General features: G+C 44.8%; 1 protein-coding gene across 16 annotated transcripts in view, besides 1 other annotated feature; it reads right to left on the bottom strand.

The window, feature by feature from the left end:
* The window catches only part of ERI3 (ERI1 exoribonuclease family member 3), a 134,210-nt gene that overhangs the window by 107,769 nt on the left and 12,333 nt on the right, over positions 1-14,108 (bottom strand). For 9 of the 16 annotated variants that reach the window (XM_017002302.2, NM_001301699.1, NM_001301700.1 and 6 more), the window contains one exon: positions 10,207-10,484. The exons of 3 other annotated variants lie outside the window; for them this stretch is intronic. In XM_017002302.2, the coding sequence (XP_016857791.1) occupies positions 10,207-10,461 (255 nt within the window). In that variant the 5' untranslated portion in view covers positions 10,462-10,484. The remainder of the gene's footprint in view (positions 1-10,206; positions 10,485-14,108) is intronic. 4 more of the 16 variants (XM_047430152.1, XM_047430144.1, XM_024449712.2 and 1 more) reach the window with 1 other exon arrangement.
* Positions 10,823-11,324: an enhancer, noted in NCBI's record as "NANOG hESC enhancer chr1:44805333-44805834 (GRCh37/hg19 assembly coordinates)". NCBI's record gives its function as "activates a minimal SCP1, AML or CMV promoter by ChIP-STARR-seq in primed H9 embryonic stem cells {active_cell/tissue: H9 hESC(primed)}" and the evidence as "EXISTENCE:reporter gene assay evidence [ECO:0000049][PMID:30033119]".

A 14,108-nucleotide genomic window follows, 5' to 3' on the forward strand; every position in this document is an offset into this window, starting at 1 on the left:
AAGCACCCGAGTCAAGCCCTCTAAGTCTGCTAACCATCGCTAGCTCTTATCACCAGACATTTCATCCTCCTTGCTGCCAAGAGCTAGGGCAGAAAAACAGGCCTGTCACATCCAAGAACTTCACAGAGTAGACTGGCACATCTCTGTCAGGGAGCTAGCAAAAAGTCTTCTTGTCATGGCAGTGCCTGCTTCCTTTAGGAATACTGTCAAGACCAGGGCATCAGCTACCCTCAGAGTGCTCAGCACACTATTGTCTCAGCCCTCCAGAAAAAAACCTTCCTCTGTCCAGATGAACCAAAAAGCAGGACTGGGTACCTCTCCTATGAGAAGACCGCTCATTACAGACACAAGCCAGGAGCTTATCTGGTCTATCTAACTGCCTCTGGTCCTGAGAAAGGCCTCTCCAACCCTGGCCACAAATTTGGAGCAGGATCACAGAATTCCTGCATATCCTAAGGCACCTACTTGGGGACTCCTTGCTATCCTCACCAGCCACCACATTCAACACCATCAACCATGAATTTCCTTTCAGGTCTGCCCCCGACATTGTTTCTCTAGTCACATTACCTTTCCAGTGAAAGTAGACCTGATCAAAATGCCATGTTTCATCTCACTCATCAGCCCTACCCACCCATCTGTAACTACCAATCCCGTTCAGTTGACCAGCTGGCCTTTAAAATGCCGCTAGTGTTGTGAACAACGCAGACATGTCCCTGCATTTCCAGACAATGCAATCTCAAATCATGGCTCTCAGTTTTATCACACTTTTAGAGAGCAAGATTCCAAGCTTTCTAGCCAGTTATTATCCTATCTACCTAACCATCACTACCTACCTCCTCTAGGCCAATGGCCAAACAATGCATCAAATAGGTCCTAGAGGAATAACTACCCACATTACCACTAAGGAACTCAACTATAACAGCTCTGCCTGTTATGTTCTCCCTGATACGGATCTTCTACTCAGAGTACCCCATTTACAACAACTATAGATTCCATGCGCCACTCCTTAACAAACCTCAGTACCACTGACTCCTCAGTAGGCCACTAGTCTCCAAAAGAGTTATGAGCTACATAAGAACATGGTTCTCAAGCCTGTTTCCTTCCTAGCACACCTAAGGGTTACAACATGTAACTTCTCCCCATTCTCACCATCGCCAACCAACTAACATCCTAGTCCAACCCACTAGCATCTCTCTCAAGTACTGCATCCGTACCAGTCTCCCAACATACATTTTTAACCTCTTGGAACAACTTCCTTTCCATTCCCATGGACTCTGGCTTATAACATCTATTTCTGTTTCTTCTTTTCCACTCAGTAATACATTCAAATTTCCTTTTCCGGCTCCCCAACTGTACCCCCATTGTAGAGTATGAACACTCCTTTACTTTCAGCAACGTCGGCATCTCCAAATAAGTGCCTCTGCCAGCACCTAACCCTCAGATCAGCCCTTGGCTGGAATGGCCTTCCAGGACTAGACACTGACTATACACTACAACAGAAGTAGAGCCACTTGTGTATCAGACCTGTTTTGCCACCCACAGGCCTTCCAGATCTCCTTACTGGCCAACTACATGCAGGGACAGGACCCAAACAGCAGCCTATCCCAAGGCACCTCTACATCCAAATAAAAGCTGCCCTGATGTTTGTCTCTCCCTCCAGATTTCTTCTTTCTGATTTACTTCCTTTCTGACTCTCCCAACACCTAACAGGGTTTTGTCCGTGGCAGGAGCATCAATACATATAAACGCTTTTCTGCCTGTGCCAGCCTGTTCACCCTTCTGCTGCAGACCTGCCAGCCTTTGCTGGGGGTGGGGGTAGCTGGTGTCAATGTGGGTACACTCTTGTTTCAGGCTTTTAGGCTATGGCTCAATTTTCACAGCTAGAGCTCAAAACTCATCACATAAATGTAAGAATGTGGGGGTTTTTTAAGTATCGTGAACACCCAGGATAAGAGGATAAAAAATAATCATCCCAATGGCATCTTAATCAAAATGATGCAAGATCCTTTTTCCCAATGAGATACAGAGATGCAGAAAGGGTCTCCTGATATCAGTTTCCTCATGTCAAACAATGGAGATCAGTCTACAAAAGAAATATAATCAAGAGGGGAGAGGAAAAGCAGGGCAGGATGGAGGTAGGGAGAAGTGAAGCCTATGGACTTAACCTAAACACTCTTGGATTTCACTTCCCCCACTGTCCCCGCTTTCCAACCTGCTGGCTTTGCTTTCTATGGCTGTACCTGTTGCCAATGCTCAGAGGAAGCTCAGCCTCCACCCCCATGCCCTCCAGTCGCTTCTGATCCCACCAATCTCCACATTACCCAGACCTTCCTGCCTCTTCATCAGTCATTCCTTCCACACTAATCTCAATGTTAGTCAGCCAGCTATTTATCTTTTTGAAGGGTCTAAACCTCCCTGGTCTATTGAAGGTAGGTCCTAGCAGATCCAGATCCAAATTCCCAATTTTTTTTTTTTTTTAAGCAGGGGGAAGGTGAAGGGGAGGCGTCATGTCATTCCCCAGCCTTTGACTCTCCCTAGAGACCTAGCAGCCCACCCAAATGCTATGCTGAGGTATCAGCCTCCTGATAATGCCTCAGAGCCTTAGCCTTCTTGACAATACCTCAGAGCCTTAGCTTACACCATATCCACTTTCACCCACACCCCTTTTACCCACACTTTATTGGGTAAAATGCTCTTAAGCCTCTTCTAGCCTTTGTACTTCCACTTATAGCATCACAATGACACCTTCTAGCTCGAATGTGAGAAACAGCGTAAAACTGATATAGATAATCCAACTAACTGAACAGTGAAATACTTGCCAGGTTCAAAGTCTTTATTCTCCTTTTACCTCATTTTCAATATTTCTACAAACAAGCCTGTAATCAAGGTCAGTTTTTCCAGACTTAGGCCATTTCATTCTGGCTTACTGTGTGAACCCCTTCTTCTCTTCCTGCTATAACAGTTCTGAATGGCCTCAGGTCCACTTGGCCCTTTCTGGTCTCCTGAATTTCTTATAACATGAAAACTATGCAGCCCTCCCCCACACTGTGAGCAGGGTTGATCATTCCCATCCTTTGTGCCCCCACTGTACCAAGTACTTACCATGTCATGGTGGTTATCATACAGCCTAATGGTTGTTACACAAATGTCTGCCCTCCTTGACTATGAGCTCCTTGAGGGTAGGGACCATTCCTTACTTGTCTTTATACCCCTAGCATCTAACACAGAGCTTTAAGTTACTATCCAAAGAGTAAAAAGAAGCCTTTTCATTGCCTCTAAGGTGGTTATAATGAGGTCTTCCCCATTCCTTTGCTGACTTAGGCGGTTTTTTTATGTCCAACAAAAACTTTAAAAGGCAGCTCAGTGTCACTGTTATTTTACGGTCCCTGATTTCACTCACCATTTATCAATGGCCCTATTCTTTAGAGCTCTTCCCCACCACCAACCTTAGCCCAGTGCCCAAAAAAATCTGCATTCCAACAGCTATCTCAGCCCTGGGGAGGCCATCAGGATAATAAGAGGCTAGGGGGGATGTTTCCTGATTTGCACTAAATTATGTGGTGATTTTGTTACCAGTGACCCAGTGTTCCCCAAGGAAAGTTCCTGGCCCCACCCCCAGACAACTCCACAGCCTGCTACACACCATGGCAGCTTAAAGGTATAAACCCTGGGGAAGGTGGAGAAGCAGTCTGAATAGAGCAAATAAACCGCTTCGATCCTGCCTCTGCTATGCCAAACACACAAGCCAGGGCCACCATGCATCAGTGCTCCATTCCCCGAGATGTATATTTTGCTTCTACATTGCTATGTCTGCTCCAAATACAGACAGGCCCTTCGGCTTTCACGTGAAGTTGCAATACAGCCAAGACTCGGACACAGCAAACGCTTGTTCCCATTCCGGGAATACTAGTGAGGAGCCATAGTGGGAGCCAGGCGGAGGCCCATCCTTATGAGGGACCACCAGGAAACAGCAGCCTGTGGAGGAAGATGGCTTTGGAAGGAGGAGGGGCAAGGACCACATTTATGGAGGCAGTGACAAAAAAGACAAAGGGGCCTAGTGGGCCACCCCATTCCCACCATCACTGGCCATCAATAGAGGAATTCATTTATAGTGACCCTGAAAGAAGAGATGTGTTAAAGTAGAGATATAACTAGAAAGAAAGGCAATAATTGCTCTGATGGGCAGGGGAAAAATTATTCCAGGAGTCGGGAGCCTGTACAAGAACACTTACAGCTCACACAGTCATCATAACTCAGCCCCCTCAAGCATTTTGTGCTCTGCTTATGGTGTTAACTTTAATGTCTTAACATATAACACCATCCACACTAACACAAAATACTACACACGCCAGATGAGGCTAAGTTATAGTTGCTGTGGGAAGCATAACTTTGAATTTCCTGATTTTGGTGCATTTAATCTCAACCATAATGTTACATTAACGTCGGTTTTGCATTTCATTTTCCAGTTTAGAAGAATAGCGTCAGCGCCTTCGCCTGTCTGTACAGAAAAAAGTACATGCTGACTGGGGCCACAGACAGAGGGACCACAATCCAAGGATTAGGCTCTCCAGGAAAAAGGCCTGGGCCCCATCCCTCCCCACTGGAGGAGCTACAACCAGGACAAGCACATGGGAAGGGAAGGGTGGGTTCTTTCTCCAGGGAATTGCTTTTCTGTCCACTTAGTCACGGCAGGAACCAAGAACAGAGAGAAGGAAAGAAGCTAAACATGGGGCAAAGAGCAATGTGTTGGGCAGGGCGGGGAGGCAGCACGTGGGGTTAAGAGGATTCCTGCCTTTCAGCCTCGAACGAAGGAGAAAGAAATCAATATAGTTTGCTTTGTAGGGATCTTAACCAATTTCCTGTAAAGTTTTCCAAAATGTCTCTTTCACAAAAGACTAGTAATGATGTGGCAACTCTAGGTCACACGGAAACCCTCCGAATCTCTTCTACATTAGCCATCTCTGTTACCACCAACCCTCCCCACATATCCTTCAAAAATAACAGCACCTGGACAATTGTCTGGAAACGAGAAACTCCTTTACTCATAGTTCTAACTCAAAATGCAGATGGACTCTCTTCAAGGTTTCCGTAAAAAGGAAAAAAATGCTCCTGTGGACAAAGACCAAACACTAGAAACCTCAACCCCAAACGTCATTTTTCTCCAAAGTTATGGGCACTTGAATACAGATGAGAAGGCAAACAGTCAGTAGGGCTGCTGCAGAGCAGAGACAAAAAGACTATGCAGGAGCCTGACGGATGGCCAGAGGACTTGGGGAGGAAAGTGGGTAGCCGCCAGGATGGCAGCTCCTCGGATGGGGAGAGCTGTGCTGCACCCTCCCTCCCTGGTCATCCAGACAGCTGAGGTTACCTCCTCCTCCCAACGTGCTGTGGCCTATACCTCATTTTCCTCACTTACATTTGCTTTGGTCTCTTCTGAACACTGAGGTGGTGAGTGAACTTGCCCCAAGGTTAAAGATGCACAATTAAAGATCCCACCAAAGCTTTCAGGCTGCTCTCTGGGCCTCAGGGTCACAACAACCATCACTCGGTGCACATCCACACCAAAATGAGCAAAATGAACTCCTGCTAGCGAGGACAAAGGAGGCATAATTCTCCTAAACCAGATAAAAAACTGCTTCTATGTCAGGAAACAATTCCTAAAACAAGAAAGGAGCCACATTCCTGAAATTTGGACCCTCTAAAACATTTTAAACCATCTAAATTACATTTAAGTGAAAAAAGTGTTTTCAAATGAAAAAGTCTCCTATTCAACCAATACCTATCATGTTAATCTGAATCAAAACATGTAACACAAATAAAATGAGTGCAAAAACCAGAACACCAAAGCCTGTAACTGGCAAGCCAACCACTCCAGTTTCACCTAGCTGAATAAAGTACAAAAATAAACAGCAAAACTGATGACAAATGGAAAATATCATGTTTTACCATGTTTATAACCAATGCTGTTACTCACCCAAGTACAACAGGGCTTACACCTGTTAGTTTTTCGTGATGGCATTCCTTTAAGATAGTCCCAATAAGCTGACTCAACTAACTCAGGAACTTCTGGAAATCAAAGATAGATAAAAGAGCCCCACATTAAGCCTCCAAATAGGCCATGGCCTAAAACTGTTTCTGCCTCCTATATACTCAAGGGGTATGACACACTGTCATAAAAACAGAAGTGTACCATGCAGGATCTTGAGTACTGAAAGTTCCTGCTGGCTGTGGTGGCTCACACCTGTAATCAGAGCACTTTAGGAGGCCGAGGTGGAAGTATCATTTGAACCCAGGAGTTTGAAACCAGCCTGGGCAACATAGTGAGACCCCATCATTATAAAAAATAAACAGAAAATTAGCCAGGCATGATGGAGCATACCCATAGTCCCAGCTACTTGGTAGGCTAAGATGGGAGGATCGCTTGAGCCCAGGAGGTTGAGGCTGAAGGTTGAGGCTGCACTGAGCTGTGATCACACACTGCACTCCAGCCTGGGCAACGGAGCAAGACTCTGTCTCAAAAAAAAAAAAACAAACAAAAAACAGAAAAGGGAGCTGGTCAGGAGAGGAGCCTGGATGGTTCTCATTCATAAGCCCAGCCCTACTCCCAGGAGGCATGCAGACCTTACTCATAAAGAATCAGGCCGGGGGCAGTGGCTCATGCCTGTAATCCCAGAACTTTGGGAGGCTGAGGCGGGTGGATCACCTGAGGTGGGGAGTTCAAGACCAGCCTGACCAACATGGAGAAAGCCGACCTCCACTAAAAATACAAAATTAGCTGGGCATGGTGGCGCATGCCTGTAATCCTGGCTACTCGGGAAGCTGAGGCAGGAAAATTGCTTGAGGCAGAGGTTGCGGTGAGCCGAGATCACACCATTGCACTCCAGCCTGGGCAACAAGAGCAACTTGTAGCCTGGGCAACAAGAGCGAAACTCCATCTCAAAAAAAAAAAAAAAAAAGAATCAAAGAATCTCTGTCAAATGGACAGCCATCAAGCCGTTCTGAGACAGCACTAAGGAAGGCTGATCTAAGGTGTATACCTTATTCCGGTCCTTTTGCTGTCTCTTCTGGCAGTTCATTCTCATCCCAAATCTCAACCTTTCCTGCTTCCATTTAAACTTCTTTCTTTTTTGTCCCTATTAAAATCAAGAGCAAGTTGTTATCGTACTCCTTGGAATAATTACTCCTCACATGATGAATTTATTCAGTCTGAACAAGAAATCAGTCACCAAAACTATAATCAATTTATTTTCTAAGTTCTATTTTTGTGCCTCTAATGATTTGTGGTCCAATTCCTGAGCTTTTCCAATTTCTCCACTTCCCTTGTTGACCAGAAGACCTAAACAGCACAGGGGCTCTAATAAGAACCGGACCTATGTTGACCTCAATGGAAGGATGCTATTCTATCTAGGACTGACAACTTCTCCAATCCGTCTTCTTGGCTTTCTCTGAATCCCATCAGGATCCTGCTACCTGCAAACCTTAAAAAAGCTCTCCCATAAAAAAGGGAGATTTTAAGTTGCTACTAACAAGTTTCAACCTGCCGTCCCTTTCCTGAAGGTGGTCTGATGGGTAGTCCAACACAGATGTCTGGCCCCAAACTCACCTTCCCAACTGTTGATCACAGCATTGTAGAGGTTTAATGAAGTCAAGATGCATTACATTTATCACTTGCCCTAGATCCACTCAAATCCATCACTATGTCACAGCAAGAAGTTAAGATTGATCTGACAGGATTTGCTCTTCTTCACAAACCCATGTAAGTTATTACTCAGTGCCCCACGCTCTTCTAGCTGTTTGCTGATTGATTATCTGACGATCAGGTCAAGTATCTTCTCTGGAATCACAGTAAACTAACGGGTCTATAATTTCCAAGATCATTCGTATTCTCCTTTTAAAGATAAGCAAGACAGCAAATGCTTCTTCCCGAGTTCTCTAAAGCAACAGCTAATGCTTTGCTAATAATGAACCAGGGCAGCCAATTCCTTAAGTGCCCTTGGAATCACATCATCAGGGTTCATTGATTCTGGAGATAATCTTTAATCAGGCCCAGACCCTGGTAAACAATGTGAAGCCCTAACTCAGCCTGGGTCTGGAAGGTCTTGGTGCCTAAGTCTGGGAAGGAAGTTGGTGATACAAGCTGTTTAAATCTGTACTGCATGATGTCTTCAGCATTGTGATAAATAAATAAGTAAAAATAAAGCCCTTGAAAGAAAGATGAAAGGTGACATTGACAGACCAAACTGAGACATGATTCAGGCTTCACCTTCAGGAATATTGGCAGGACCCTCTGCAGGACAAGAAAACAGAGCTACATAATTATCTGAGTTTATAATCTAACTGAAAAGGTAAGAAAATACACATATATAAGCATATGCCAGAAAGCAGTAAATGCCATAACAGAGGTGCCAAGCGATTATGAGGGATCAGAAGAGGGATGAATCATATGTGACAGAGATGTGTTAGATTTTAGTCTCATGTCCCACTAGGGCTTACCCAGTGACTGAAATAGAAGAAATAATATGACATATTAAGATTTGGATCCCTAATTCCCAACATGGGAGAATCTTAATAACCAAAATTCCCAGCATAAGCACCAGCTGCCCTCACCACACCAGAGAAAATCCAGTAGTTTGGGGAGGCATGGAAGAAGACTACAGTATAGGCAGGAGCCAGAGGCAGAGAACGTAAGTGTGGCTTGAGTAGCTCCCAAGCTGCATTCCCTTACACCCAAAGGACCTTCCTTTAGGATATTCTCCTTATCCAGCTCCTGGGTTCCCAGCCCTCAGTAGGCCTCATTCCAGTGCCTCAAAGGCAGACCAATGCATTAAGGGAGTATAGGAAAGAGGAGAGGAGAAAGGGAACACTAGAGGTTGTCATACCTGCTTTATGTAAAATAATTTACCATTTTGAAGACAGATCCCTTCCTGAAAAAACCAACCATGACAGACAAACCCAGTTTATCTTTAAATGGACCACACTCCTCCCTACCTTCGAAGTGCCCGATGCTGAGGTCCCCTTCTCTCCCTCCTCCTTACGATTGAAAGCTGTTCCCAGAGCAACATGTCTATGCATCACACACTCTATAACCTAACCCTATAGAGAAGAGTTACAGTCCTAGAGCCAGACATATTCAATGCACCAACACTACAATGAACTGCTACATCAGCCCCCAATCATTCCCTCAAAGCAAACACCACATACTTCAATATCACCTGCAGCTAATCCAAGCCTCCTAGCAGCATTAACTTAAAAGCTAAAAGGTCTTTGAACACAGCTGGTGACTAATGAAAAAAAGCAAGCAAAGAAATTGTCCTTTCCAACAGACCAACAATGGTACTTGCTCAGGTTATCTAATGCTGCATAACAAATCATCCCAAAACCTGTGGCTTAAAACATCAATAATCATTTGTTATCCCTCACAGTTCCTGTGAGTCAGGAATTTGAGAGTGGCTTAGCTGGCTGGTCTGGCTCAAAGTCCCTCCTAAGGTTGAAGTCACATGTCCACCGGGGCTGCAGTCATCTGAAGGCCTGACCGGGGCTGGTAGATTCACTTCTAAGATAGCTCATTCTCATGACTGGCAAGTTGGGCACTGGATTTTGGCTAAGAGCCTCAGTTCCTACACACATGTGCCTCTCCACAGGGCTGCTTGAGTGTCCTGGCAGCATGACAGCTGGCTTCCCCCAGAGCAAGTGGTCCAAAAGAGCAAAGTGGACTGCAATACTTTTTATAACTTACCCTCAGAAGTCGTACATTATCTCTTCCACTGTATTCTATTAGCTATACAGGAATATCTTTGATTCAGTGCAGGAGGGGAACTACCAAGGGTGTGAATAGCAGGAGTTAAGAATCATTGAGGTCATCTTGGAGGCCAGCTACTATAGCACTCCTTAAAGGAACAAGTGGCAGTAGCAGGAGAATGGAGGAAAGAAGAGAACAGAGAAAGGAAGGACGGGAGAAGGAAATATTTTGATTCCCAAAAGCTGAGACTAGAGAGAAACAATGTACCCAGTTCTCTCCAGAGACTTCTCAGGTCTACCTTACACTAGCATACCTGAAACAAGTCCTGCTTCCTAGACAGGAACTCTAAATGAGTAGCTAAAAGACAGGAAGGCATGAGAAAGCTCCTTTGTGTCCCAGGAAGCAAAACTATCCTCCCTCCCTCCTTGCCCCCCCCACCTTTTCTAAAGCAATGATGGAACAGTTACCTGAGGATGAATCTGTGGCTTGTCGCACGTGGCCTCAAAGTCCAGCACTAAAAAGTAGTGATACCTCTGGGGAGGGAAGGACACCATTGCCGCCATGGATGCGCCAAAGCCGTGGGCCGCCAGCTTTCTGGTGGATATGGAGCAGAACTCCGGAACACCACAGGGAGAAAATAAGTGGGAGCCCAGCACTTTTCTTGCTCTTGAAAGTAAATACGAAGAAAATCGAGCTGCTCCAGTCTGTAAAGGTGCTAGCATTGAACATCCAGAAGCATCTAAAACTTAGGGGAGGAAAGTTTAAAAAAAAAAAAAAAAAAGAAAAGAAAGAAAAAAAAAAAAAGAACAGAGAGCCTGGGTTACTCCCTCCCACTGTGGCCCTGTTCCATCTAGTCTTCAGGAATATCCACGCAACATGGGCCACTCCCCAGTGTTTCTGGGCCCCTTTTCTAAATCATAGTATTCGTTACTAAAGTTCAAGACCCTAATAGCAGCACCTGCAGCATTATTACAGCTCTGAGTCTCCCAGATCATTCTCAAAACAACATGCAACACTGGCCTGCATCTTTAAATGGAGCTCTAAAGTTCAAAAGAGAGAAGAGAGAAAAATTGTGCAGTCACTTCTCAGGTGGCAACAGTTAACATTAAAGCTATGGGTCCAAAGTAACGTGAGGTGACCCTGTTGTACAATGAGTCCTGGAAGCTAAGTAGACTCAGACAAGCAGCAGAAAATGTCCAAGGTTCTTTTCTCAGCTCCACTAGGAGCCATTTGCCCCTGGCTTTCCAGTCTGTATCTTGATGTCTCCACATACCCTCCTCCCCTCTCCCAAGGTGAAGGCAAACAAAGCGAATCACAGGGGTTTGCTCTGACATTCTGGTGATCCCCCAACCCCCACACTAGTAAGTGGCACCCTGGGGGAATGAACAGTGCCTGGAGAGCACAGCTGGCTGCAGCCTTAGGCCTTCTCATTTGCTGCCTTAGACTCGGTCTCTACTCGAGGCCCTGAATGACTGCGGGACTTTTTAAATAGGGAAGAAAAAGAAAACCCAGATGTGGCAGTAATAGGAACATGGCTAAAAGTCTAGTAAAGTTTTCTGAGTGAACATGTGCAAAAAAAAAAAAAAAAAAATCAAATCACTTTTCCTTTAAGTTTTCCCCTTAAATTTGCAGAATGCCTGCTCCTCAGAGGCCTAACTAAATACAAAAATCAAAGCCTAAGTTTTACTCACGAATAACTCAAACTTCCTTAAAAAGAAAAAAGGAACAAAGCAGAAATGTTGTCTTTCTCCCTTTAATACTCAACATTCAAATTTCTCTCAACTTTAATCCTCAAATAAGAAATCTCACTGTACAATACAGTAATGGCCATAGTTTGTGCTTTCCGAAGCCTCATTCCAACACAACCAAAGGCTTGCCTCTGATGGCTGCAAGTGGGCACCTGGCTCCCTTCACATAGGGTAGAGGGATAGCACCCTGTGAAGTCCAGCGCGTACTCAAAGGCAATGAGGCCACTACCACCTGAACAGAAGCAGATAATGCCAAGTATGGCTGTCTTCCCATCTCTCTCCTGACTCACTGAATGAGCTACAGTAACTTGCCTATATATATAGTAGGATATACGCTAGTGTAGGTCCTCAATTTCCCTATCCCTATAATGAGATTTCAGGGGGATTCAGTGGAGCTAAGACCAAAAAATATTTTAAGTTCTTCATGGATCCTGCACAAGCACAGCACTTGTTTTCACCACTGCTTTATAGCCTCACCAAAAATACAGCCAAAACTCAGCCCAGGTAGACAAACGCTGGCTTGAGTTTCAATATGGAGTCTCCTGGAAGGGCAAGAGGGCCAATATCCCTTTGAAAGCCAGAATCTTCTCATCGCCTATTCCTGAATAGTACTGGAAGCCTTAATGAGATGGAAGACACCAGTCTGCTCAAATTACCCATTCTAGTTTGGATCCAAAGTCCCTCAAGGACTTAGACTCTTCTCTAACCCCATAAAAAAGTGTAAAGACTTCTGAAAGTCCTAATGTTCTACAGTGTGCACAGAATATGCGTAGTATATACAGTCAGTCAATCCTGTCTACCAAATACTATAAGCAATTAAGCATGATGAGTAAGGAGGGCTTCCAAGTTTGAATCCTAGCTTTACCACTTACTACCCATGGCACCTTGGGCATGCTGTGTTCTTCAATTCCTCATCTGTAAAATGACAATAACAATAGCACCTACTCCTTAAGTGAGAACAAAATGAGACAACACATGTAAAGCACTAAGACCAGTGCCTGGCATATAACAGCCTAATATATATTATCCTAATGTTATTACTACTATCCTATTGGGCTATGCCCACCTGGCCAAGCCTGGATCCCCAGATTCTGGGCCTACAAATCCAATTAATTCATAAGGCAGCCTCAGAGAGTAATATCGATGTCTTCTGCAACCCTAAAATGCTCCAGACCTCTGACAGAGCATACTATATATACCCTATTCTGATGGCCAGTGGTCCTCTTGCCTGCAGGCCTTGCTTTCTCACCTGATTTCATCTACATCAAAAAGCTTCTTTTGGCCAAGCACAGTGACTGCACCTGTAATCCCAGCACTGTGGGAGGCTGAGGCAGAAGTATTGCTTGAGCCCAGGAGTTCGAAACCAGCCTGGGAAACATAGTGAGACCCAATCTCTACAAAAAATAAATTAAAAATTAGCCAGGCGGGGTGCTGCATGCCTGTAGTCCCAGCTACTTGGTAGGCTGAAGTAGGAAGATCACTTGAGCCCAGGAGGTTGAGGCTACAGTGAGCTGTGATGGAGCCACTGCACTCCAGTCTGGGTGACAGAGCAAGACCATAATTCAAAAACAAAACAAAACAAAACAAAACAAAAAAACTTCTCTCGTAGGAAGTCTTGAGAGTAGACATTAGGAGGTCAGGCCTCCACATATCAGCAGTTACTGGATTCCACACTTCCCTTACTTCTAACAACCAAGCTCAGTTCAAGTCAAGAAACAGAGGGTAGCTCTTCCTCTTCCCTTCCTGAAAAACTCAATCCTAAAGCCATTAGGTGCAGCAGAAGAGGGCAGATATCTACAACGGGTGGAGTAGGGTGAGCCAGAGAGGTCTGGGGGACACTGTCAGAGCCCAGGCAGGGTGAGGAAGACATCCTTGCAGAAGTGGGAAGGTGTGGTGCAGCATGTCAGAGCCGAGGGGGATGTGGAGAGCATCCATGTCGGCTGGCAGTCTGATGTGGGGTGACACACGCAGGGTAAAAGAGGCACTCATGAAGGGTAAAGGGCAGTGGCAGTAATGAGGATTAGCTACCTACAGAGGAACTGATCAAAGAAGTGCATATATTAAGCATAATGGGACCCAGGTTTCTCACTGTTAAGAGAAAGGAGTTAAAATATGGAAAGGGAGAAAATCTGTGGTGTTGGATTGGAATTGGCAGGAAGAATGTGAACTCATGGTTTCTGATTAGATGTGTATCAGATAGATAGATGGATACACACACACACACAAATATACACACATATGCATATATATTTTCTAGCTCTATTTAAGGAAGAGCCAGGGAGCAGTAACAATGGCAATGAGCACACCTAGCACTCCATTGCCTTCTTGTTTTTTTTTTGAAGACAGGGTCTTGCTCTGTTGCCCAGGCTGCAGTGCAGCGGCACAATCATAGCTCACTGCAGCCTCGAACTCCCACGCTCAAGCAATCTTCCCACTTCAGCCTCCCAAGTAGCTTGGACCACAGGCATGTGCCACCACATCCAGCTAATATATATATATATATATATATATATATATATATATATATATATATTTTTTTTTTTTTTTTTTTTTTTTTTTTTTTGTAGAGATAAGAGTCTCACTACGTTGCCCAGGCTGGTCTTAAATTCCTAGGCTCAAAT

This window comes from Homo sapiens, chromosome 1 (assembly GCF_000001405.40).
Source record: "Homo sapiens chromosome 1, GRCh38.p14 Primary Assembly".
In the NCBI taxonomy this organism is placed as follows: Eukaryota; Metazoa; Chordata; class Mammalia; order Primates; family Hominidae; genus Homo; species Homo sapiens.